The 24,613-nt window shown below is 45.6% G+C and overlaps 1 long non-coding RNA gene and 2 pseudogenes across 2 annotated transcripts, besides 1 other annotated feature; 1 reads left to right on the forward strand and 2 right to left on the reverse strand.

The window, feature by feature from the left end:
• The first annotated feature begins 14,290 nt into the window (after positions 1 to 14,290).
• Positions 14,291 to 17,754, forward strand: LOC101927846 (uncharacterized). Its single transcript, XR_001751437.2, has 3 exons — positions 14,291 to 14,379; positions 15,000 to 15,096; positions 17,516 to 17,754. It is a non-coding gene; the product is annotated as an uncharacterized LOC101927846 (long non-coding RNA).
• Positions 15,781 to 16,281: an enhancer, noted in NCBI's record as "H3K4me1 hESC enhancer chr15:23263501-23264001 (GRCh37/hg19 assembly coordinates)". NCBI's record gives its function as "activates a minimal SCP1, AML or CMV promoter by ChIP-STARR-seq in primed H9 embryonic stem cells {active_cell/tissue: H9 hESC(primed)}" and the evidence as "EXISTENCE:reporter gene assay evidence [ECO:0000049][PMID:30033119]".
• Positions 15,827 to 16,063, reverse strand: RN7SL495P (RNA, 7SL, cytoplasmic 495, pseudogene; annotated as a pseudogene).
• GOLGA8IP (golgin A8 family member I, pseudogene) lies at positions 17,039 to 24,540 on the reverse strand (annotated as a pseudogene). The gene is made up of 12 exons (NR_024074.2): positions 24,395 to 24,540; positions 22,605 to 22,724; positions 21,642 to 21,701; positions 21,380 to 21,460; positions 20,239 to 20,526; positions 20,066 to 20,150; positions 19,861 to 19,970; positions 18,885 to 18,971; positions 18,671 to 18,778; positions 18,388 to 18,475; positions 17,763 to 18,019; positions 17,039 to 17,507 (listed from the first exon to the last, which is right to left on the reverse strand). The product of NR_024074.2 is annotated as a golgin A8 family member I, pseudogene (transcript).
• Positions 24,541 to 24,613: the final 73 nt, after the last annotated feature.

Consider the following 24,613-nt stretch of genomic DNA (forward strand, 5'->3'; position numbering starts at 1 on the left):
GTAGTAACATATTTTCCAGGGAACAAAACAAATCAGTTTTAATAGTGATCAAACCCCACCCAGCCTCTTTATGTATTAATACCCAACTTACAAAACCGTATGTTAAGCTGTACAATTCCTCCACTGGAAATTTAAGCGCACATTATTATGAGTTCCTTATTTCCTGATAAGTCCCAATGGTTACAAAATTACTCAGTTTCTTTGAAGAATCAGGAAGCCACCACCCATGGGCACTCAATACTGATTGTCATTTTTAACAAATTGTGGGAAATAAGCTTTAAAACTGGGTCACTACCCCTAAAAGTATGCAGTTTAGTTATAATATATCAATACTGATTTGTTAGTTGTGACAAATATACCATAATCATGTAAGATGTTAGCAACAAGGGAAACTGGGTGCCTGTGTGGTACACAGAAACTCTCTATACCACCTTTGCAACTGTTTTCTAAATATAAAACTATGCTAATATTTTTTTAAATTTAAAAATTAAAAGTAGGTCACCAGAAATTTCCTACCCACATAATATAGTCTCATTTTGAATGTAGGCAAAGGAGGATTCTCAATTCTAGGACTGTCTCTCTAAAAAAGTAAAAAGCTGGTAATTTGATAAGATTACTGCAAGAGAAGCATGACTAAGTAGGCATATATCAACAGTCAATATGGTACCTTTATTACCTAACAAAAACAAGGCAAAAATTTATCTTGGAAAACTGGATTGCAGAGAACCCTATCTTCTAATTTAATCATCACACACTTACATAGCTCATGTTACACACACAGTACGGTAATATTTATTTGCTGAAAAGCAGAATACAAAAGCATTAGATACTCCCCATCCACCTATGAGTTCACCATCTAGTTAAGTACACGTCACTGCCAAGAAGCTTAAAATGATAGTATTGTCCCTGATTTCTAAGAGCACACATACGCTGACGGGCAACTCTCATGCCAACCTCAAAGGAAGGTAGAATGGATAACAGCATTAAGTCTACAAATACTGTGCTGTGAACACTGTAGCTAAGACCATTCTGGAATAAACAGTGTATCATCTTTAATGTATAGTATCCTATCCCAAAAGTGATATCAAAATGTCTTTAGTAAAATGAGTTCTGTTCTTCTTCATTCTTTCATTCAGCACCTACTGTCTGCCAAGTGTTGCTGTATATGCTGAGCACACTAACAGCACTAACAAAAATACCCTGCTCTAATAGAAACAGACAATAAGTATATGACGTAGATGGTGTTATGTACTATGAAGAGAAATAAGCCCAGAGCAGATGAGAGTTGATGGAGTTGTGTCTTAATTTGCCTTATTTTACATATATTTAACGTATTAAAATCGTGCTGACATCCTATGTGGAAAGGTTTACTGAAAATTTGAGAGACAGAGAATGGCTGATCTGTAGAACATGGGTACTGTCTAAAAGAACCTTCACTGATTCTTTCAAACTTTTCCAGAGATAAACTTAGACTCATTTTGAAAGTTGCTTTATTACCAAAAAATTGCCACTCCATGAAAAGTTCAGCACTTGATGCCAATAGATGTGACAACAAAAAAGCAACTTCGGCATCACATATATGGTCAGGAAAACCATCAGAAACTAAGAGATTTTTTTTTTTTTTTTTTTTTTTTTTTTTTTTTTGGTGATGGAGTCTTGCTCTGTCACCCAGGCTGGAGTATAGTGTTGCAATCTGGGCTCACTGCAACCTCCGCCTCCCCGGTTCGAGTGATTATCCTGCCTCAGCCTACCGAGTAGCTGGGATTACAGGCATGCACCACCACACCCCAAAATGAGGTTTCACCATGTTGGCCAGGCTGGTCTCAAACTCCTGACCTCAGGTGATCCACCCACCTCTGTTGCAGGAAGTCAGGGACCCCAAACGGAGGGACCAGCTGAAGCCATGGCAGAAGAACATAAATTGTGAAGATTTCATGGAGATTTATTAGTTCCCCAAATTAATACTTTTATAATTTCTTACGCCTGTCTTTACTGCAGTCTCTGAACATAAATTGTGAAGATTTCATGGACACTTATCACTTCCCCAATCAATACCCTTGTGATTTCCTATGCCTGTCTTTAATCTCTTAATCCCGTCATCTTCATAAGCTGAGGAGGATGTATGTCACCTCAGGACTCTGTGATGATTGCGTTAACTGCACAAATTGTTTGTAGAACATGTGTGTTTGAACAATATGAAATCTGGGCACCTTGAAAAAACAACAGGATAACAGCAATGTTCAGGGAACAAGAGAGATAATCTTAAACTCTGACTGTCGGTGAGCCGGGCGGAACAGAGCCATATTTCTCTTCTTTGAAAAGCAAATGGGAGACATATCGTTGAGTTCTTTTTCTCAGCAAGGAACATCCCTGAGAAAGAGAATGTATCCCTGAGGGGAGGCCTCTGAAATGGCTGCTTTGGGGACGACTGTCTTTTACAGTCACAGCAGAGGGATGAAATAAGCCCCGGTCTCCCATAGCGCTCCCAGTCTTATTAGGACGAGGAAATTCCTGCCTAATAAATTTTGGTCAGACCAGTTGTCTGCTCTCAAACCCTGTTTCCCGATAAGATGTTATCAATGACAATGCGTGTCTGAAACTTGATTAGCAATTTTAATTTCGCCCCGGTCCTGTGGTCCTGTGATCTCGCCCTGCCTCCATTTGCCTTGTGATATCTTACTACCTTGTGAAGCATGTGATCTCTGTGACCCACACCCTATTCGTACACTCCCTCCCCTTTTGAAAATTGCTAATAAAAACTTGCTGGTTTTACGGCTCAGGGGGCATCACGGAACCTGCCAACATGTGACGTCTCCCCGAGACACCCAGCTTTAAAATTTCTCTTTTGTACTCTGTTCCTTTATTTCTCAGACCGGCCAACACTTAGGGAAAATAGAAAAGAAACTATGTGAAATATCGGGGGTGAATTTTGCCCGATACACCTCAGCCTCCCAAAGTGCCAGGATTACAGGTGTGAGCCTTCGTGCCTGGCCGATAACTCCTTTGAAACAACATAAATATGGAAATGAACTACTCACATATGTTATTATATTGCCCATATCCTTCTGCAGCTTGCCTTTTTCACCCAAAGTTTTCTTCATGAGATTTACCCATGTTAATTCTTTTCAATCTAGTATGTTCATGTTTAATTGCTGTATAATATTCCACCACATGGATATGAGTTTATCCAATCTCTTGTTGGTTAACTTACATTCTGCATCATCTTATGTTACTGCAAATACTACTGTGATAAACAGGTTTTCCAAATTTCTTTGTACACATGTGTTTTTTTGCTCAGGTATGTGCATCTTCAACTTCATTAGAGATTATAAAATTGCGCTCCACTTTACCTAGCTGAGTTTCCACTGGCCCATATCTCTGCCAGCAATTCTGTCAGACTTACATTTTCGCCAATCTGAAGATGACAGAATAGTCATTTTAACTTTCAATTTATCCATGAGTTTCTAGTTCAAGTATCTTTTCCCATGTTTACTGACCATTCCAGTTTCTTCCTCTATAAAGTAACTCTTCACATCCTATGCCCATTTTGTCTTAAGTTTTTCTTTTCATTATTAGGCTATTTTTCATATCCTGGATACTAACCATTACAAAAAGTTTCCCTACAACAAGATCACAAAGACAGGTAAATTTTCTTTGAAATTTTTTCTAGTTTTTCTTTTCATATTTTAGTCTTGTAATGTCAGAAAAAAAGACCTAACACTCAAATGTCAAAAAAAACCTAACTGAATAAAAAAGTGGTACATCCACACTACAAAGTACTAATTTTAAAAAAGATGAAGAACATTTCTATAAACAGATATGAAGTGATCTCTAAGAGAAGTTTAAAAAGGTGCAAAATGGGCCGGATGCAGTGGCTCACACCTGTAATTCCCAGCACTTTGAAAACACTCTGGGAGGCTGAGGCAGGTGGATCGCCTGAGCCCGATATCAGCCTGGGCAGCATGGCAAAACCCAGTCACTACCAAAAATACAAAAAAAATAGCCGGGTGTGGTGGCACACACCTGTGGTTCCAGCTACCCTGGAGGCTGGGGTGGGAAGACAGCTTGAGTCTAGGAGGCAGAGGTTTCATTGAGCCAAGATCACACCACTGTACTCCAGCCTCAGTGACAGAGTGAGACCCCACCCCAGGTCAAAAAACAAAGTGCACAATGGTATATGCTATCTTTTATCTAAGGGAGGGAGAAAATATTCCTGCCTCAGCCTCCCGAGTGGCTGGGACTGCAGGCTGAGCCACCATGCCCGGCTAATTTATTTATTTATTTTTTTTGGTGGAGATGGGGCTTCATGTTCGTGGGGCTGGTCTCAAACTCCCGACCTCAGGTTATCTGCCTGCCTCGTCCTCTCAGGGTGCTGGGATGGGAACAGGAATTAAAAGAAATTTAAAAATGTGTAAACAAAAACTCAGTTGTATGTAAAAAAACCCAATTCCCCCTGAGAAAGAGAAGAGCTAGAGTCCTTCAAAAAAAACTACTACCTCCTGCTTTTCTATGGCAGTGAGCCTTATCTCTCCTCCCTTCCCGGGCATTATAAAAACCCTAATTCCCTAACTGTACAACTGCAAGGTCACTAAACAAACTCAAGTTACAAAACATATTTTTCCTAAAAAAGGAAAAAATAATATAATGCATGATTCAATTGAACAATTATCTTTGTTTCTCACTTCTATCATATGCTTCACCCTGCACAGATCTACCCCCACCCCATAAAATGCTTAAAAGGTAAGTCTTGTTCAGAACTCAGTGCTTTAAATGTTAATCCGACTGGGCCAATGCACGTAAATAATTAATTAATAACCTCCTAAACCCCATCAGTCTCTCTAATTCCTTAAAAATCCTGCTACAGGATTGTAAGCATGAGCCACCGGGGTGCTGGGATTGCAGGTGTGAGCCACCGCACCCAGCCCAATTTATTAATCAGAAAAGAATAGATCGGCCTGGTGTGGTGGCTCACGCTTGTGATCCCAAGAATTTGGACAGCCGAGCGTGTTGGATCCCTTGAGCCTAGGAGTTCCAGACCAGCCTGGGCAACATGGTGAAACCGGGTCACTTTTTTTGTTTGTTTTTTGTTTTTGTTTTTTTTTGAGGCGGAGTTCCGCTCTTGTTGCCCAGGCTGGAGTGCAGTGGTGTGGACTCACCTCGCCGGGCCTCTGCCTCCCCGGTTTGGGTGGTTCTCCTGCCACAGCCTCCCTAGTGGCTGGGATTGCAGGCGTGAGCCATCATGCTCGGCTCTTTTTTTATTTTTTTGGTGGAGATGGGGTTTCTCCATGTTGGTCAGGCTGGTCTCAAACTCCCGACCTCAGGTTATCTGCCCGCCTCGGCCTCTAGGGGTGCTGGGATTTCAGGCGTGAGCCACTGCGCAAGTCCCAATTTATTAATCATAAAGCAACTGATCGGCCTGGCGTGGTGGCTCACGATTGATCCCAGGACTTTGTATGGCTGAGCGTGGGGGATCACTTGAGACTAGGAGTTCCAGACTGGCCTGGGCAACATGATGAAACTTGGTCTCTTTTTTTTTTTTTTTTTTTTTTTGAGACAGAATTTCGCTCTTGTTGACTGGCTGGAGTGCAGTGGCGTGGTTTCGGCTGCCTGTGGCCTCCGCCTCCAGGTTTGGTTGGTTTTCCTGCCTCAGCTTCCCAAGTGGCTGGGATTGCAGGTGTGAGCCCCTATGCCCGGCTTTTTTTTTTTTTTTTTTTTTTTTTTTTTTTTGGTAGAGACGGGGTTTCTTCATGTTTGTCAGGCTGATCTCAGACTCCCGACCTCAGGTGATCCGCCCGCCTCGGCCTCCCTGGGTGCTGGGATTGCAGGCTTGAGTCACCGTTCCTGGCCCAATTTATTAATTAGAAAGGAATAGATTGGCCTGGAGTGGTGGCTCATGCTTGTGATCCCAGGAATTTGGACGGCCGAGAGCGGCGGATCGCTTGAGCCTAGGAGTTCCAGACCAGCCTGGGCAACACGGTGAAACCCGGTCGCTTTGGGTTTTGTTTTTTTTTTTTTTTTTTTTTTTTTTTGAGGTAGAGTTTCGCTCTTGTTGCCCAGGCTGGAGTGCAGTGGCGTGGACTCAGCTCACTGGGCCTCTGCCTCCTGGGTTTGGGTGGTTCTCCTGCCTCAGCCTCCCGAGTGGCTGGGATTGCAGGTGTGAACCACCATACCTGCTAACTTTGTATTTTTTTATTTTTTTTTTTTAGTATAGACGAGTATTCTCCACATTGGTCAGGCTGGTCTCAAACTCCCGACCTCAGGTTATCCACCCGCCTCGGCCTCCCGGGGTGGTGCGATTCCAGGCGTGAGCCACCGTGACCGGCCCAATTTATTAATCAGAAAGGAATAGATTGGCCTGGCCTGGTGGCTCACGCTTGTGATCCCAGCTGGGACTTTGGACGGCCGAGCACTGAGGATCACTTGAGCCTAGGAGTTCCAGACCGGCCTGGGCAACGTGGTGAAACCGGTCTCTTTTTTTTTTTTTTTTTTTTGAGGCAGAGTTTCACTCTTGTTGCCCAGGCTGGAGTGCAGTGGCACGGTCTCGGCTCCCTGCGGCCTCCATCTCCCGGGTTTGGGTGGTCCTCCTGCCTTAGCCTCCTGAGTGGCTGGGATTGCAGGCGTGAGCCACCATGCCAAGTTAGTTTTTTATTTTTTTATTTTTTTGGTAGAGACTGGGTTTCTCCATGTTACTCGGGCTGGTCTCCTGCTCCTCACCTCAGGTGATCTGCCGGACTCCGCCTTCTGGGGTGCTGGGATTGCAGGCATGAGTCACTGCGCCTGACCCGACACCAGGTCTCTTAATGGAAAAACAAAACAAAAACCATAAAGATTAGCCTGGCCTGGTGGGCCCGGCGGGTAGTCCCAGCTACTCTGAAGGCTGATGTAGGAGGATTGCTTCAGCCAGGGGGTGAAGGTGGCAGTGAGCCATGTTGGCGCTGCTGCAGTCCAGACTGGGCGACAGAGCGGGACTGTGTCTCAGGAAAAGGGAAAGGAAAAAAAAATAAAGAAAAAGAAAGTATATAAAATTGCTAAATCAGGGAACAGCTTGACAGTATATTGAGAGAAATAGAGGCAAAGGTGAGCAGACACCAATGTTCACTTAGTGGAACTGCAGGTGTCCCCAGACAGGAGGCTGCTATTTTTCCAAAAGAAATCTACTATTGACTAAAAAAAAAAAAAAAAAAAAAAAAAAAAAAAAGTTGGTTTGTTACAATATACAAATAGCTACACTGTATATAGCCACCACCCTCTTCTAGCACTGCTGTAAGCCTTTTCCTGCTCTGAAAGAGCTACTGTTACCTCCATTGTAGAAAAAACAGATGCCAGAGGTTGTTGTGGAAGGACCAGGGAAACTATGAAATTTACTTGTACTTTTCAGACTTAAAGGTTCTTCCTGCTCTGCTCCATACACTGCAACATTTTAGTTAACATACCTCTTAAAATACTGGTCCTTTCTGTATTTGGAGGGACTCATCTTACAGTGTGAAGTTTTTTCTTGCACTAAGCATTTGGTCATAAGCTCATTTGTGTTTTATGTCAGGTTTAAGTACCTCTTCCGACATTGTTCAGTTAGGAATGTAAATATGAGCAAACAGGTATCTGATTGAAATAGATAACCTAGAAAAAATCACTTATGAGAAAGTCAAGAAAATGTGAACTCTGGATTTGTGGCTATTTTCAGAAAGTATTAATTTTTTGATATTTAATGGCGTTATGAGTATATTTTTAAAAATTCCTTGTCTTCTACAGATACATATAAGGTAATTTTAAAAATGATATGATATATAGGTTTTACTTCAAAATAATTCAGAGGAAGAAGGAATGTATATAAATGAAGTGGGAATACAAATGGAACAAAACAAGATGTGGCCAGGTGTGGTGGCTCACGCCTGTAATCCCAGCACTTTGGGAGGCCGAGGTGGGCAAATCACCTGATGTCAGGAGTTCAAGACCAGCCTGGCCAACGTGGTGAAACCCTATCTCTACTAAAAATACAAAAATTAGCCGGATGTTGTGACGGGTGCCTGTAATCCCAGCTACTCAGGAGGCTGAGGCAGGAGAATTGCTTGAACCTGGGAGGCAGAAGTTTCAGTAAGTCAAGATCATGCCACTGCACTCCAGCCTGGGCAACCACAGCAAAAGCCCACCTTTAAAAAAAAATACAAAACAAAAACTGGCCATGCCATGAATGAAAAATTGTTGATGATGTATGTATGTAGGGCAGTTATATTATTTTTCTTAACTTTTTTTAGGTTTGAAACTTTTTATTGAACACATGCAAACATCCCTTGATAACTGGGGCTGCTTCCCCATTATTCTCGTAGTAGCCCTTCTGATTTTCACTTCATCTTCATTCTTAGAGATTCTGGATATTTTTTTTTTGTTTGGCAAGATCAAATATGTCTTTGCAAGGACTATCCAGAATGTCTATTTTATGACAGAGGCTTTGCAGAGTACCTACTCAGCCATATTATCAGAAACAGAAATATTTTCCATATTCTTGTCTTGTCCTGTTTAGATTTTTAAAATTCCAAGAACAGTCACCTTCTACCAGACACTCTGATGTTGGAAGACAAAGCATATTTTGTAAGTGGCATGATTTCTGGGCTCAAATTTAGAACAGAGCCACAGCTTTCAACAACCGAAAAATAACTTACTGTGACGCACCAAATTTAGAAAGATGGAGATTATTATAAAAAGAAAACCTTAATTTACTATGTGACCTCTAAGTATCTGGGCTGAAAATTGTAAAGGTAGAAAGGTAAATCAAAAGATATAGAGACTGTAATCATGCACTTAATGAAGCACTAAATCAAAATATATTTGGCATACGTGAGTTTAATTTTATCACATTTTTTACTGGCACTATAGCTATTTGCAAGTACATATAAAACTACAGTGTTACATATAAACTACCAAAAAAGAACTTTTTAAGAAATGAGACTCATCTAGCAACTTTATTTAAAAGTTTATCTTCAGGGAATAGTTAAGGATGGCCGTACAAAAGGATTTAGCCATGGCATGAGAATGTTCTCCCTGGCAAACCAATGGAAATTATTAAATGTGCAAAATGGAACTGTTGGAATAAATTCTAATGCCTTCATATGATCGTATATTTAACCTTTTAAAATGATATTGAAGAGTTGCATACATTGACTTAAACACACATTTGTAACACATCACTGAATAGGAGAAATATGGGCCAGCAAAGAACATAGAGTTGGTCCAATTTCTACAAAAAAAAGAAGACTCTAATAGCATGACAGCAGGGAAGGGGGACTATGTCAACGTATGTGTGTATATGTATGTATATGCATAGCAAGCATGAACTTGAAAAGATATATTTCAAATTGTTTACACAGATTACCTCAGAGAGGTAAATAACTTTGGACTTTGGTGTTCTGTATTCCACATGCTCTGAATTTTCTTTTTTTATTTAAATAGAGATGGGATCTTAGCCAGGAGCAGTGGCTCACCCCTGTAATCCCAGCACTTTGGGAGGCTGAGGAGGGCGGATTGTTTGAGGCAGGAGTTCAAGACCAATCTGGCCAACACGGCAAAACTCTGTCTCAACTAAAAATTCAAAAATTAGCCAGGGGCGCAGTGGCTCATGCCTGTAACCCCAGACACTCGAGAGACTGAGGCATGAGAATTGCTTGAACCAGGAGGCAGAGGTTGCCGTGAGCCGAGATCACACCACGGCACTCCAGCCTGGGCAACAGACCAAGACTCTGTCAAAAAACAAAACAAAACAAAACAAAACAACAACCACAACAACAAAACAGTAATAAAGAGAAAACCTAATGGACAGGAGCAATGTCTCGTGCCTGTAATCCCAGTGCTTTGGGAGGCCAAGATGGGAGAATTGCTTGAGGCCAGGAGTTCAAGACTAGCATTGGCAACATAGTAAGACCTTTTCTCTACAAAAAAATTTAAAAATTAGCCAGGCATAGTAGTGCATGCTTATACTCCCAGCTACCTGGGAGGCTGAGGTGGGAGGATCACTTGAGCCTAAGAGTTGGAGGTTGCAGTAAGCTGTGATCATACCACCAGAGAGCCACGACCCCATCCCCGCCTCCTTCCTCTGTCCTACGCTAGCAATAAATAAGTTTCCCAGCCACAAATAATTATTAGAACCTCCTCCCCATGTGCCAGCTCCAACCTCTGCTAGGTATGATACAGGGGCAGCCCTACCCTCTGGAATATACAAAATGTTACACAGACACAGTATGTACACCGGGGAAGGTGGGCCACCCCAGCAGCCCATGCCCTCGCTGGTCCACAGTTAGCCCCGCTTTCCGGCCTCAGCTACCTCTCTGAATAAGAAGATGGGAGCCCCCCTGAGGGAAACGTTGCCATGGTGAGAGTAAGGGGACCATCAGGCCTCCTCCAAACAAACCAACTCCACCAGCCTCTGGCTCTTAAATAACAATCATCATCATCATCCAGAAATTTAGGGACTCAGCCCTGCTCAAGGTGGCAAATGGTCTGTTTGTCTTTCCCCATTAGACAGAGGTCTTGTGCTGCTACCCTAATTGTAAAGGGGTGCCTGGGAAGAGGTGGTAGGGACATGGTGGCGGTGGAGACTCCAGCCCCACTTCTCCAGGCTTTGCTGACAGGGGCCTGCTTTTAATTTTTATTTTTATTCCATGACTTTTTAAAAAAATCCCATAACTTATTTTTCATAACTTTTTTTGTAACTTTTCATAAAACTTTTTTCTACTTTTTTCCCAGAAGTTTTTTTGCCACAACTTTTTTACATTTTTATCCCATAACTTTTTCACCCCATAACTTTTTTAAATAAAGTTATTTAATAAAATAACTTTTTATAAAACTTTAATAAAAGTTTTTTAATAAACCCATAACTTTTTTATTTTGGTTTTTAATAAACACTTGCATAGTTATATTACAACTTTGTAAAAATGAAACACATTATCTCATGCCAAGCATGCCCAGCATTTGCACAGTATCAATACCTTTAATACTATAGTTTTCAAGAAACGCAAAATAAAATTTTAAGGCAAAAACAACACATTCAAACAACTTAATAATTTATTACATTACAGTGGCATCACACCAGCAGTCAATAAGGCCACTCTAGGGAAAAATCTTTCAGTATTTCCATTACACATTCTGTTTACAATAATTCATAAACTGGTAAAATTCATTCTAAGAAAACTTGGCAAATAAAACTTTGGACTGGAATTGGCATTTCTTTCTCTGCTTTTCGTTCCCACTGTTTCTTTCTTTTATACTACAGTATTCATATTTTAAAATGTTTTAAATTATTTCAGAACATTAAGATAGCAGTTACATATTTTAATAGTTATATTATTTTAAAACGACTCTTTAAAATTAAGTTTTAGAGAAACTATATTATGGATAGGGCTGATTTACATTTTCAAATTTTCTAAAATCAGCTTTGGTTTTAGAGCTGATTTTTTTTTTCATTTCTGGAAAATTATCAGGTTTAATCAAATACTTTTAAAATGATTATTATATATTGCCATCTTTAAATAGGTATTTTGATTCTTCCTACAGAAATTAAAATGTATTCAGTGGAACTCACAGTTTAAAATTCTGTGTTTCTGATGAACTCTAACATTCCAATGTTGCCTTCTAAGCAAACTGAAAGCTGCCTTATACCGAATGAGGAAGAGCACAAATACTCGGCTGAATGAGGTATCGCAAAAGACTGCATGCACTTTGGAGAAAGACTTAAGTTATTGTCATACAATTTCCATTCTTTTTAGCTTTTTCTTAAATATATGACAAATACCTACACAAAGAGTGGTATTTCAGTCAATATAGTAAATTTATTTTCCAGACTGACCTTCAGCTTAAATATGCCAGTGTGTGATTTAATCCATAGGCACCTCATGAACACATTATTGTCAGATTGGTTACAGATGCTAAACGCTATCCGAAGGTCATTCCTAGTCACTGATATTTATCAGGGTAAAAGTGAAGTGATTTCAACGATAAAAGTACCTTTGAAATAATTTATCAATGTATTAGATAAACCCAGTTTCAGAATGATAAAAGAAAAAACGTTAGACCAAATAATGTGGCTGATTAACAGTGGTCCGATTTCTAGCCCGAGGGTTTAAAATGCTCTTAAAGTAACCGTCTTTAAACTGAACTCAAAGAATGCAAAAGCGGCAAGTTCAGAAAATAAAAGGCGAGAACAGGACTTTAAGTGCATTTTAAACCCACGGGCTACAAATCGTACCACTGTTAATTAGCCGCATTATTTGGTCTAACATTTTTTCTTTATCATTCTGAAACTGGGTTTATCTAATACATTGATACATTCATAAAATTTGGAAGAGTCAGTTGAAGTCACAAGGACCGAATATTTGCACTCTTTCAGTGAATGCCAGCAAATCTGTTATTCCATCGGTAAAATCGTATTGTTGCTCTCCTGTTAATGTCATATTTATAGAAGTATCATGAGGATGCCAAATGCTAAAAATGGAGATGATCTAGTAACTAGAAATCCCCACCGCAGGGAGCACACACACCTATCTCCCTGCATCCTAACAATGTGATGTGTTTTGGAACACAGACATTAGAACTTCATGAAGTTTTAACTGTTGAGTCTTTCCCAAGCATCATCAAGTTACGATTTAGGCAATATATAACTGAAATGCATTCATTCATCATGCATAGGCACAATCACATAAATATTGCACAAAATATGTCCCGAACAGAAACCCAGAGGTACAAAAACATATTTCACTTTGTAAAGAAGTCTGTGAGAAAATATAACTCTGTGATTGTATAGACACGTTTCCTGATAATACATTGACATTCACGAACAGTAGATTGCACTGCAGTTTGTACACATTTTAAGTTTCATAAACTTCTCCTTGATTTTCAAAGATAGTATAATACCGTCTACTAAAACTCCTTTTTGTTTCAACTAAGTATCTCACATATATTAGTTTATAATAATGTTTCTATTATTTTTTAAAGTGTTTTCCATTCAAGGAAAAGGAAGTAAATTCCTATGTCAGAGTAACCAAGGTGGTTGAAGAATAGGTATTAGCCAAAGAGGTCTAGATGGTAAAATCAATCTTCAAGCCTCAAAGAATATCCGTGAACAGAGAGGAATTCCAGGTGTCACACAGCTTTCCTTCACTCTAATTCATTCTTGACTAGAGCCTGTATGCCTGTTCCAGGGACGTTTGAACTCATAAAGGATTTGTTATGATCTTCACTAAATACATTAAGAAGAATGCCAACCAGTGCCCTTTTGTGTACTGGGACATGTAGTCATGTGATTAAAACAGGTAACATGAACTCTGACTTTAAAATGTATTGTAGATACAAATGCTCTAAGCTAGGAAAGGTTTTCCACATCCACAGTCAACGATGGGAACCTTTCATTCCTCAGAAATAAGCCCTTTTTAGGTCATCCAAAAAGAGTGCAACTGCTGCAGCTCATGATGCAATATCTTCATGAGCCCAGAGCACATAGAAATCCTAAGGGAACCATCATAATACACTGCTAATTCCTGGCACCGGAACAGATGAAACACACTCTATCCTGCACATACCTGCCAGAGGAGGCCACTTTCCTCTTCTGTGAGATTTAAAAAGCTCCCCCAAAAGGTTATCACTCCCATCACCAATACACAGAAAATGGAGGAAAGGCTGTTTCCAGTTCTTGGCCTTTAAACAACTCTAAATGTCAGTACTCATAGTGGCATATTACAAAGTAATAAACAGTGCACACTTGGGGGCAAACTACATATTGAGCTAACGAAGAGCTCACTGTGATTAAGATTAGATCAAACAACAGCAGAACATAGGCAAATTTTGTCTGAATTCTGTAGTGAATATACATGCTGCAATAACATTAAAAAAGCATGGCAGCCTATTCCAAACCAGCGAGAACAGTTTTGGGCAAAGAGTGGGTCTTTGTGTGTTTGAACTCCCACCACGTAAGGGCAAACTCGATATGCATGCTAATGACCTACAATTATGAAATTAAAAAAGAAAAATGCTAAAAGGATGCCAGAGTGAACATCAGTGAGAGCCACAGACACCCACTCTCTTTTAACTTTTTATAAATAAACTTAAACTATAAATTAGAAACACAAATAATCATGAGTGACTCTAACATTCAAAGGAAGTAAATGAATTGTGTAGGAGATTAACCCCATAACTTGGTTTCTTATTTAAAAATTTCTTGAGCAGCTGTTTGATGATGGTGATGTTTATCTCCTTCTTCTTGGCAGCCAAGCCCAGCAAAAGAATGGCACACAGCAGTTGCTGCCCAAGCCTGGGTGCTCCTGGTGGTCCTGCACGATCGGCTGTGCAGTAGGCTTGTCAAGGAGAGGATCCTCCCTGGCCTCTCCTTGGGCAGAGGAGGTGAGGCTCACCTCACAAAGATCTTTGGAGAGAGGGAGGCAGGGATCTGAGCACAGTGGGAGCCCCCTCTTCCTGCCTGCCCACCCCACCTGAGGGCTCTACTCACCACCATGCTTGTCTGCAGCCCCAAGCTCCTGGGGGGCTGGGGCTCCTGGACCGGGCTCATCAGCAGGGTTGTGGGCAGCGGCCAGGAATTTTCTGTGCCCATTGTTGTAGTTGCTGTAAGCCGCAATACCATCTGCTGCAGCTCCAGCAGCTTCACCTGGAGGGAGGGGTGCTCAGCTGCCATGCCGCTGCCTGCGCCCACCCTCACACCCACCCCCACCCCCACCCCCACAGAGATGTTGCACACCCTACCTTCATCTCCTCCCTGAGCTCCAGCCTGATGGTGTCCTCCTCCCAGTGCTGCATCTTTGGCACGGCCCCCTGGTTCTGATAAAAGGTGATGGGTTTTCCTGCGGGAGGACAGGGCTCATACGCTGGGGCCCCTCCAACGGCCCTGTAGCTCCCCCTGCCGTGCCCTGGCCTCCCACTCACTGATGGCATCTCTCTCGCCAGTGGTGGATGAAGCAGAGTTCTTTTTTCTTCACCAGCTCACTCAGGTCTGCCTTCTCCTCCAGGTGGTCCATAAAGCTGCTCTGGAGCCAAAATATTGCAGTCACATCTCGGCAGCGACCTGCCCTCAGGTGGCATTTTCAAGTCATGGAGAAGGTGGAGGTGAGTCCTGCCATGGGCCAGCTTCTCCGTGACTTCCTGCAGGGCCCAGTGGGTCTCCCCACTCACAGACTCGCCCCCAGGCCCTGGGGCTCCAGGGCCTCTGGCTGCCTCTGGCTCCTTCTGGGCCGAGGCCACCGGGTGAGCCAGGCGCTGGCAGCATACCCTCTGCTCTTTCACCTGCTCTTGTAACTGTGCCTGCTTCTCCTGGGCACTAGCTCCAGCGGACTTGAAAAATGCCACCTGAGGGCAAGATGTGAGCATTCTTCTAGGGGCATACACAGAAGAAATGGGGCAGAGAGGTGGAGCGCAGCCCCTTCCCTTGGGGCCTCAGAGAGTGCACCTGTTGGCCACAGGTGAAATGGTGTCTGACCACTGGCTCTCGGAAGGGGTGAGGGTCCAGAGAAATCAGAAGGCAGGGAAACGAAGAGCATAAAGGGGTCTTGGAGGGACCACAGAGAAAGGTGGCAAAATGGGTGCAGGGGGAGTCAGGCTCACCATGGCCTCCCTGCTCTCCAGGTCCTCTGGGACACTCGGCATGGGCTGAGGTGCCTCCTCCCCCTCACTGTCCAGATGTTCTCCTCCGTGTCCTGTGGGGGGTGGCCAGAGGGGTCTTCAGACAACCCAACAAGGGAGGTACTGTGGGCCCACCTCTACCTCCACCCTCACTGTGTAATCCTGAGCCAGCCCCTCCCCAGAGAGGAATGAGCTGTTGTTCTTTATTTTTACTTTTAAGAATCAAGATCTTGCTATTCCGCCCAGGCACATTCCCACTACTGGTCGATGTGGGAGTTCTGACCTGCTCCCTTTCTGACCTTGGCCAGTTCAGCCATCCTTAGGCAACTTGGTGACCCCCCGCTCACAGGAGGTCACCACACTGATGCCCAACTTAGTGCAGGCACCCGGTCGGCATAATGACCAGCTGTTCTAAAGGTCTCTTCCAACTCCTCAATCCTATGCTGCTAGCAGTCCCCCCTTCCTCCTGGGGCTCTCTCCTCTTCCTCTGAGCGGTCTCCCGTACCTTCCCCAGGGAGAGCCATGAGGCTCAGCTGGGCTGTTAGCTGCTGGTTCTGCTGGCTGGCAGCTTCCAGGTGCTCCTAAGGGGCCAGGAAAGAGTGAGAAGGGATGGAGTTTGCCAGGTCGTCCCCCTCACGGCCCCATCCTCCGCAGCTCCCTCCCCTGGGTCTCCTGCAACTTTTGGCAGGCCATGTCAGCCACTGCTTTGCCCCAAGCTTCCTGCTGCTGCAGCTGGTTCATTAGCTGGGTCTGCTGCAGTCACTGCCTGTACAGCGCCTCCTTCTCACAGGTCAGCTGCTGATAGGCGGCCACCTGCTGCTGATAGGTGGCCACGTACTGCTGCAGGTGACCCAGGTAATGGTCTGGCTGCTGCTGCAGACTCTGAGCCTCTTGGCTCTTCAGCTCCACCTGCAGGAAGACCCTGGGTGTGAGGGCACGTGGTGGCTGGTTTCCAGATTCTGGGCCCATTAATAGGGTAGCGAGGGCACTGTGGGGCTCTGTCAGCTGCCCAGGCCCCTGTCCCCTTACTCCAGGCCTAAGTGACTGCCTCCCTTTCCTAGAACCCCATGCCTCCTTCCCCAGCCTCAAATCTCATACCCTCTTCTCATTTAATCCTCAGCACCTCTGTAAGGAAAATGCTAACTTCCCTTTGAAGTTAAAGAAACAGAGACTTAGAGATGCAAAGTACTTGAATGGTGACCAGTGGAACCGAGGCTGGAATCCAGTTTTAATCTAAGGAGTCTTTTTGTTTTGTTTTCAGACAAGAGTGTCACTCTGTGGCCCAGGCTGGAGTGCAGTGGTGCAATCTCAGCTCACTGCAACCTCCACCTCCTGGGTTGAAGCAATTCTCGTGCCTCAGCCTCCCGAGTAGGTGGAATTACAGTCATGTGCCACAATGTCCTGCTAATTTTTTTTTTTTTTTTTTTTTGTAATTTTAGTAGAGATGAGGTTTTACCACATTGGCCAGGCTGATCTCAAACTCCCGACCTCAAGTGATTCTCCTGCCTCAGCCTCCCAAAGTGCTGGGATTATAGGCATGAGCCACTGCACCTGGCATAAGGAGCCTGTTATACCACTGTCTCTTCCCCTGTGATTGGGGGCTCCATGCCTCTAGCTAGGATGATGATGTCCAGACCTGAGAGGAGCCCAGGGCTACCCACCTTTAAAAGTCAGAGGCAGGAAGCAAGAAACAGGACTGCCCTGGGGGGTGCTGTGGTCACCAGCCCCCAGGCTGGAAGCTGCCTCTGGCCTGGTACCTCCCCTCCCCAGAGGCTGCTGCCCGCCTCCCAGCCCTTCTTGGATGGGGTGGAGGTTTCCGACTCCTTCACCTCACCAAGCTTCTCCTGTAGCTCCTTTACTTGCTGCTCCAACTGCAGTGCGCTCTTGTTCTCATTGTTCTGGACAGAGAGAAGCAATCAGCAGCCACCCACTGCAGCTGGAGACCCCAGAACTTGGTGTCTGCCTCCCATGGCACTGGGAAGGCTGGAGACAGGTTAGAAAAATCACCCCCTCTCTCCCACAGCCACCTGGCTCACAGGTGCCTTTAGAAGTAACATTTCATGTGAGGGCTACACTGCCCCATTTTAGAGGTGGGGAAACAAAGGCCCGGAGGGCTAGGGAGGAGGGCAGGCTCCCCAGCTGGGGCAACGCACTGGCTCCTCGAAGACGCTCTGTGGCTTGGCCAGCTGCTGAAGGCTCTTGTGCTGCTCCTGAATCCTCTCTTCCTGCTTCCGAAGCCTCTCTTCCTGCTCCCGAATCCTCTCTTCTTGTCCCCGGTTCAGGAGACTTATGCGCTGATTGTTTTTGACCTGGGCCTGGAGCGCTCCTGCCACTCTCTCTAGTTCCTTCCTCAGGTGCTGCAGCTCCACCTCAGAGGGCACTGCTGGGGGCTCCGGGGGCAAGGGTTCAGCTGAGAAAGGAAGCAGATAATAAGGGCCTCTGGATTCTCGGAAAAGAAAAAACCTCCTCTTGGTCCACAGCTCCTCTCAGGCTCCTCAAACTTGGCCTCACTGCTAATGATTCCTCACACCCAGATGGTAGCCAGTCTTCCAGAGCACTTTCAGAGAAAGAGCACTGCGGGTGGCTGACAACGGGCCCTCTTTGCTGATGGGGACACTGAGGCTCATTGAGATGACAAGACTTGCCGTCTCCTGGCACAGACCTCTTTCCCTCTGCCTCAAAGCCCTTCCATCCACCCACCTCCCTGGGGCACTCTAAGCCACCCTCACAGCCCTCTGATGCCAGTCCTGCTCCCAGGTCATGCCAGCCCCATCTTACCCATCTGGTTTTTGAGTTTGGACAAGCTCCTCTCCAGCTTCTCTACCCGACGCATATCTTGCTGCTTCTCTTTCTTTAATGTGCAAATCTGCCCAAAGCACAAGGGGAAAGGGCCCTGGAGAGAGGGGCTGGAGGCTGGACAGGCTGCCCTCTCCCTCTCTGCCCCCACCTCCACAAAGCCCAGACCCATGACCACCTCTGGCTGTACTATTCCCATTTTACAGATGACCAGAAAGATCCAGTGACCTATCTAATGTGGGGGGGCTGAAGGGTCAGATCTCACCTCCTGCGACATTTTTCTCATCCTCTGCTGCCACCGGGCCCTCTCTCCTTTTAGATGTTCAGCATATTCATGTCTTTCTAATTGGAGTTGTTGAAATGACTCCTTCAACTGCAAGAATGGGCACAGAAGTTAGGAAGGGCTGTCACTGGTCCTCACCTGCTCCTGGCCACCTGGGGTCATCTTCCTTCCACATAACTCCCTCAGAAAACCTCACCTGTGTCAGCTGCACTTTCAGTAGTGCCTCCTCCCGCATGGACTGCTCTAACTTCCACTCCGTACCTGCTTTACTGGGGCTGGACAACTGGATGGCAAAGAGTGAGAAGTTTCAATCTGGAGAGCCTGGGCATTTCCACACAGTGCCCCTTAACAGGGCTAGGGCTAGGCCCAATATACAACTCGGTCAGTAAAGATCATGGCATTTCCAAGCCCATGGTCTGGTTTTTAAAAGAACACAGTAAAGTTGGAACGGACAGGGAATGAGATTGAATTTATAGCTGGCTAACAGAGGCCCAGAGAGATCAGATAATATTGCTATTGTTATTACCGTTATTATTACCACTGTTTGAACTTTTATGGAGTGCTTCACCAGATACCATGCTAGCAATCCCATTTAATCCTCACAACCACAGATAGGAAGGGGAAAATTAATCTTTTGTTCACTTTTTGAAAGGATGATACATTTGCATAGTCCAAAACTCAGAAGGTACAGAAGGGAAGTATCTCCCGGCCATCTTGTTGCTCTCTCCTGAATTTTTTATGAACCCTTGCAGACATGTTTTATGTATATTATCATAGTATGTACACACACACACACACACACACACACACATGCACACGTTTCCTCTTTCTACAGAAATGGTAACATACTAAAGGTACTCTTCTGTACCTTCACAGTACAAGTACCCAATACCCCACCTAGGACTTGCCCAAGACCACAGCCAGGTAAGGGCGGGGCAGGCACTTGGCCTCCAAGCTCTGCGTCCAGTGCTCACTCCACACAGTGACCCCCAACTCACCCACAGCAGCTGACTCAGCCCCAGGCTGCCACTAAAAACCATACAAAAAAGTAGCAAGAAATGGCCATGCTGCCTTCTGGGCAGGACACGCCATCCTGCAGAAGGGACCTTTAGGCTCACTCCTCCATCTGCAAAGGCAGACTCCCAGGGGATGGGGCAGGTGGTTGGACTCACCTGGTTTGCCTTCTTCTTCTGTGTGGCCATGACATCAGAGAGAACACTCTCTAACTCTCCTTTACGCTGCAATGAATGTTGCAGGCGGACAGCCAGATCCTTGGACTTTTCTGTAATGAGAGAGTTGAGATGGGGCCCAAAGGACTCCCCCTGAAGACCTGTCAAAGTGCCAGGTTGAAGGATGACAGGGTGCCCAGATTCCCACCTTCAAAGTATCTGAGAGAACGTTTCATGTGGTACAGGTCCGTATTTAGTTCCTCTTTCTGTATGTTCAATGTCTGGATTTGAACCTTTGGGAGAAAAGCCAAGCAAGTGCTGAAAGAGAAGGAAAGAAACCTTCTCCGGAGGACAGGAGGAAACTGCACACCCTCCACTCACCTCTAGCACCCTTTTGGCTTTCTGTTTCTTGATGTTTGCTTTCTTTTCCTGTAGGAAGAGGAAGACAGAGCTCTTACCAGGGGGAGGCAGAGATGGCACAGCAAGAGACATGCCCCCAGAATGCCACCAATGCCCCAGGACAGGCCCACCCATGGGACCAGGTTATCGGGGCCCTGAGGGGATGGGGTGGAATCTGAAGGGTGAGCCTTCTTCCAGCAGTCATGTTGCAAGGAAACGAAATCACGTTACTTCTTCCAGCTGATGTTCCACTTGTTTCTTCTGTTGTTTCTGTGGGGAGAGTCAAATAAGGTGATGGAGGGTGGCCCCCTCAACTCTATTCCCCAGACCAGGAAGCGGTAGGCAGGGGCCAGGAATGGATTTTAAAGGCAAAGTTCTCAGACATAATGGGAACACGAACTGGTAAACTCTCCTCAAGCTCCCAAGGACAGAGGATTTGGGTCTTTGTGGGCTTTTGCCCACAGCCACAGAACTCAAAGTCTGAATCTGGAATCTCTTGAGAGGACAGCAACATAAACCTCTAGAGATGGAGTTTCAGAAAGGCCCCTCCTTCTGGCAGCTTGTGATTTAGAAAAGTGGGTTCATTCAATAAACACCTACTGAGCACGTATGGGCCAGGTACGGTTCTTCACAGCAGATATAGGATAGAAAAGGACAGACAGGAGCCCTTAGCCCTGAGGTTTCCATTCTCGGGGGCCTTTAAATCTCAGACTCGAGAGCTAACAGAGACCTTTGATACTCACTACCTCCTCTGGAAACACGAGCCCAAAAAGGAGAGGTGGCTTGTCCAGAATCAAAGAGCAAATTAGGGACTGAGTCATGGCAGAAATACGGGGCCCTTGACAACCAGTCAGGCTAGCACTTCCCCAAGAGGCAACAACCCCAGGGCGTGTGTAGCAAGGACTCGAGCAGGGGTGTCTGGAGAGGAGAGAGTCGGCAAAGAGGGCAGCAAAAGAAGAGCCATGCTGCATGCTCTGGGGTCCCTCCAGGTGAGGCCTGGGCACCCAAGCTCCCTATTTGTCCCGGGCACCAGGGACCCCCAGCCCCTTTCTTCAGGGCCCCAAGGGGAAACTGGAGCCCAGGATTGGCAGCGTGGAATCAGGGGACCCCACCGGACTCTTACCAAAGATTTGATGGTGTTCTTCAGTTGACTGATTTCTACGGACCTTGAATCCAGGACTACTGCTCGTTCTTGGCACGGGCTCTGAGGTTCATGCAGAGAGGAGGAGGTGGAGCAGGAGTCGGGGGAGAGGTAGAGAGAACAATCATTAGGGCTGGGGTGTGTGGGCTGTCTCAGCTGGCAGAGGGGCACCCAGTCCCTCCTGGAGGAGGAGGTTGGAGGGCTGACCCGAAGGGTCACTGCACCTCTGCCCAGAGCCTCTTACCTCCAGATCTTTCAGGGTAGCAGATGATGTAGGGCCTTCCCTGTGAAAACCTGTTGCTGACTACAAGAGATGAGAGTGCACATGGAGATGTTCTGTCCCCCACAGTGTCTGAGCCCTCTGACTTCCTTTCTTCCCCATCAACTGGCAACATTTTCTTTTCTGCCTATCTTGGACCCTTTGTCCCATAACTCCTTTGTGCCAACTTCTCTCATGGTTCTTATCTCCCCACCATCCCATCCTGGGGCCCTTTCAGTGACTCCTGATGGCAAGTGGCTGTTCTCATTGTCCTGGCTTCCCCTTGAGACTGGGGATGAGGAAAATCAAACAGCAAAGACCATATCCTGGGTGTCCTGAGTGTTTACAGCAGGCCATGTACTAGGGATTAACATAAAAACAACAATAACAAATCTCATGAAAATTTCACAAATGGAAGTGAAACAATAACACCTCTATTATACAGATGTGAAAAGAGAGGCCCGATGAGGTCTAGCAACTTGCCCTAAATCATATCCCTAGCAGAGCAGATGGAGAGGCAGGATTCAAACCCAGAATTCCTTTTTTTTTTTTTTCTTTGAGACAGAGTCTTGCTCTGTCACCAGGCTGGAGTGCGGTGGCATAATCTTGGCTACTGCAAGCTCCACCTCCCAGGTTCACACCATTCTCTTGCCTCAGCCTTCTGAGTAGCTGGGACTACAGGCACACGCCACCACGCTTGGCTAATGTTTTTGTATTTTTAGTAGAGACAGGGTTTCACCGTGTTAACCAGGATGGTCTCGATCTCCTGACGTCATGATCCGCCTGCCTTGGCCTCCCAAAGTGCTAGGATTACAGGCGTGGGCCACCACACCCGGCTAAAGCCAGAATTCTTAACCCGTACCCAGCAGTCCATCCACAATCTTAACAATTACCCTCTATTGCCCCTTGGGCCCCCTGTCCCCAGAAGCCTGGTCAGCCAAGACTCACATCCCCAGGTGGCTGGCAACCACCAGAAGTGGCTGTCTGAGGGATACTGCCATTTGTTTTCCTGTTCCTGTTCGCTCCTGCTGGAACTCTAGGGCTGTTTTTCTGCCAATATTCTTTTAACTGTTGGAAAGAAGAGCAGTAATACTCATGAGAACCGTCAGCCCCTACAGCCACATCCTCCTTTACAGTTTTTACAAAATACACTTACACACTATCTGATTTAATGACACCAACAACTGTACAAGGTGTTGTCACACTCATTTAGTGACTGAGAAGGATTGATATCATGGCTAGAAAAAAAAAAAGAAAAAGGCAATACTGGCACTTTGAAACTCAGTCTTCTGACTCCAAGCTCTGAGGTTTTGCCAAGAATCAGCAGCTGCCAGGGACCAAAACCAGAGGCAGAGGTAGAAAAGTAAACATTAAGTAGGCAGGAACTGTATGCCATGTGGTTTAGAGTCATACATCCTCACACGTCTGTTAGTGTGAAGAAGTGCACCAGTACCTCTCAAACTTTTATATCAATGTGTCCTCACGGCAGAAGGCAGCCTTTCTCTTAAATCAGAATTCATCAGAAAGAGGACAACCCAAGCCTCATTTCAGAGAGAGGGCTGGTATACTCTTAGAAACCTATGTGACTGTCATCCCTAAGTATATTCATGTTTTTTCTCTTGATCTCAAGAGAATCAAGGGAAACTGATGCTTCAGAAAGATGTCCCACATTTATCCTGTGGCACTCAAAGTACCCAAGGTTGAGATAATATGAGGAAGATTCAAGGTGTCAAGTTCAGTTTCCCAAGATCTATTCCACAGAAGATGAGCAAATGTCACTTCAGAGACCACTGACTGAAGGAGAGTCTGGTCCCAGAACCATGGAGAATTAGAATATGAGGTGGAGAACTCAGAAAAAAAATGTTAAAATCTCTCTGGAAAGTAGAAGCCTGGGAGAAAACCAAACCAAACCCATTCTCTCATTGCCACCCAGAGATACTGTCAATGTTTTGAGTTCATGGGGGAAGTGTAGGCTTTTCCCACCGTCAACATCTGTAAGGGAGTGAGGCAGCCTGGAACCTCTTGCTCCTAGGTCCCATAGTCTCCATTCCCCTTCCAGCTGGAAATTTGTCCTGTGACCAGAGGAACCAGAAACGGGGTGAGAACGCTTAGGGGACTGGGTCATAAGATCAAAGGCCAGTCTTGCAGTAACGGCAGTTACTAGGTGGGCTGTGACATCACAACATTCCAATCCTCCTGGTCAGGGGGAGGGACCGTGTCAGCACCATGTCTAAGTCGCCGCTCCACGATGGGGGAGGGAAGCACAGGGTTGGGACCCAGCTCCTTGGAGACGCCAGCACAAAGAACCCAGGGAGGTCGACCTTGAGGCAGCAGGAGGGGAGGGCAGAGTCTGCAGCAGGGAGTCCCAGGAGTCACCAGCCCAAAGTCACCCAGGGATGATTGGCGAGGGTGGGGCCTGGCTCCTTGGAGATGAGAGCCCAAAGAGCCCAGGGAGATCAAGCTTGGGGCGGCAGGAGATGAGGGCCCAGTAACGGAGCGGGAAGTCCCAGGAGTCACCCACCCAAAGTCACCCTGGGGTGATTGGCGAGGGCAAGGACTGGGCTGCTTTCTGAAGGGGTGGGGCTGACTGACAAAACTTTGATGGGGGTAGCCCAAGGCACCGGGGTTGGGGGGAACAGTCCAGTGTGCCTCAGGAGTCGTATAGACTCTGGCAGGGGTCTTGTCATCAGAGGGGATCTGTGGCTGGGTTGAGGGGCTATGACCTAGTGCGTTTTTACCTTTTTCTTGGCTGCAGCCAATTTGTTGTGTTGAGTTTCTTCTGCCATCGCAGGGTGGGGAGGGAGGCAGGGTTGGGGCCACAGCAGCAAAATCGCAATGAGAACCGATCAAGGCCTCCAGTCACCTTCCAGGCAGCTGTGTGACTGAGCCAGAGGAGGCGTAACCAGGGCCCCAGTAGAATGCGGAATAGGGGCGTGGCCTTAATGCTCCAAGCCCAT

This window comes from Homo sapiens, chromosome 15 (genome assembly GCF_000001405.40).
Source record: "Homo sapiens chromosome 15, GRCh38.p14 Primary Assembly".
NCBI lineage: Eukaryota > Metazoa > Chordata > Mammalia > Primates > Hominidae > Homo > Homo sapiens.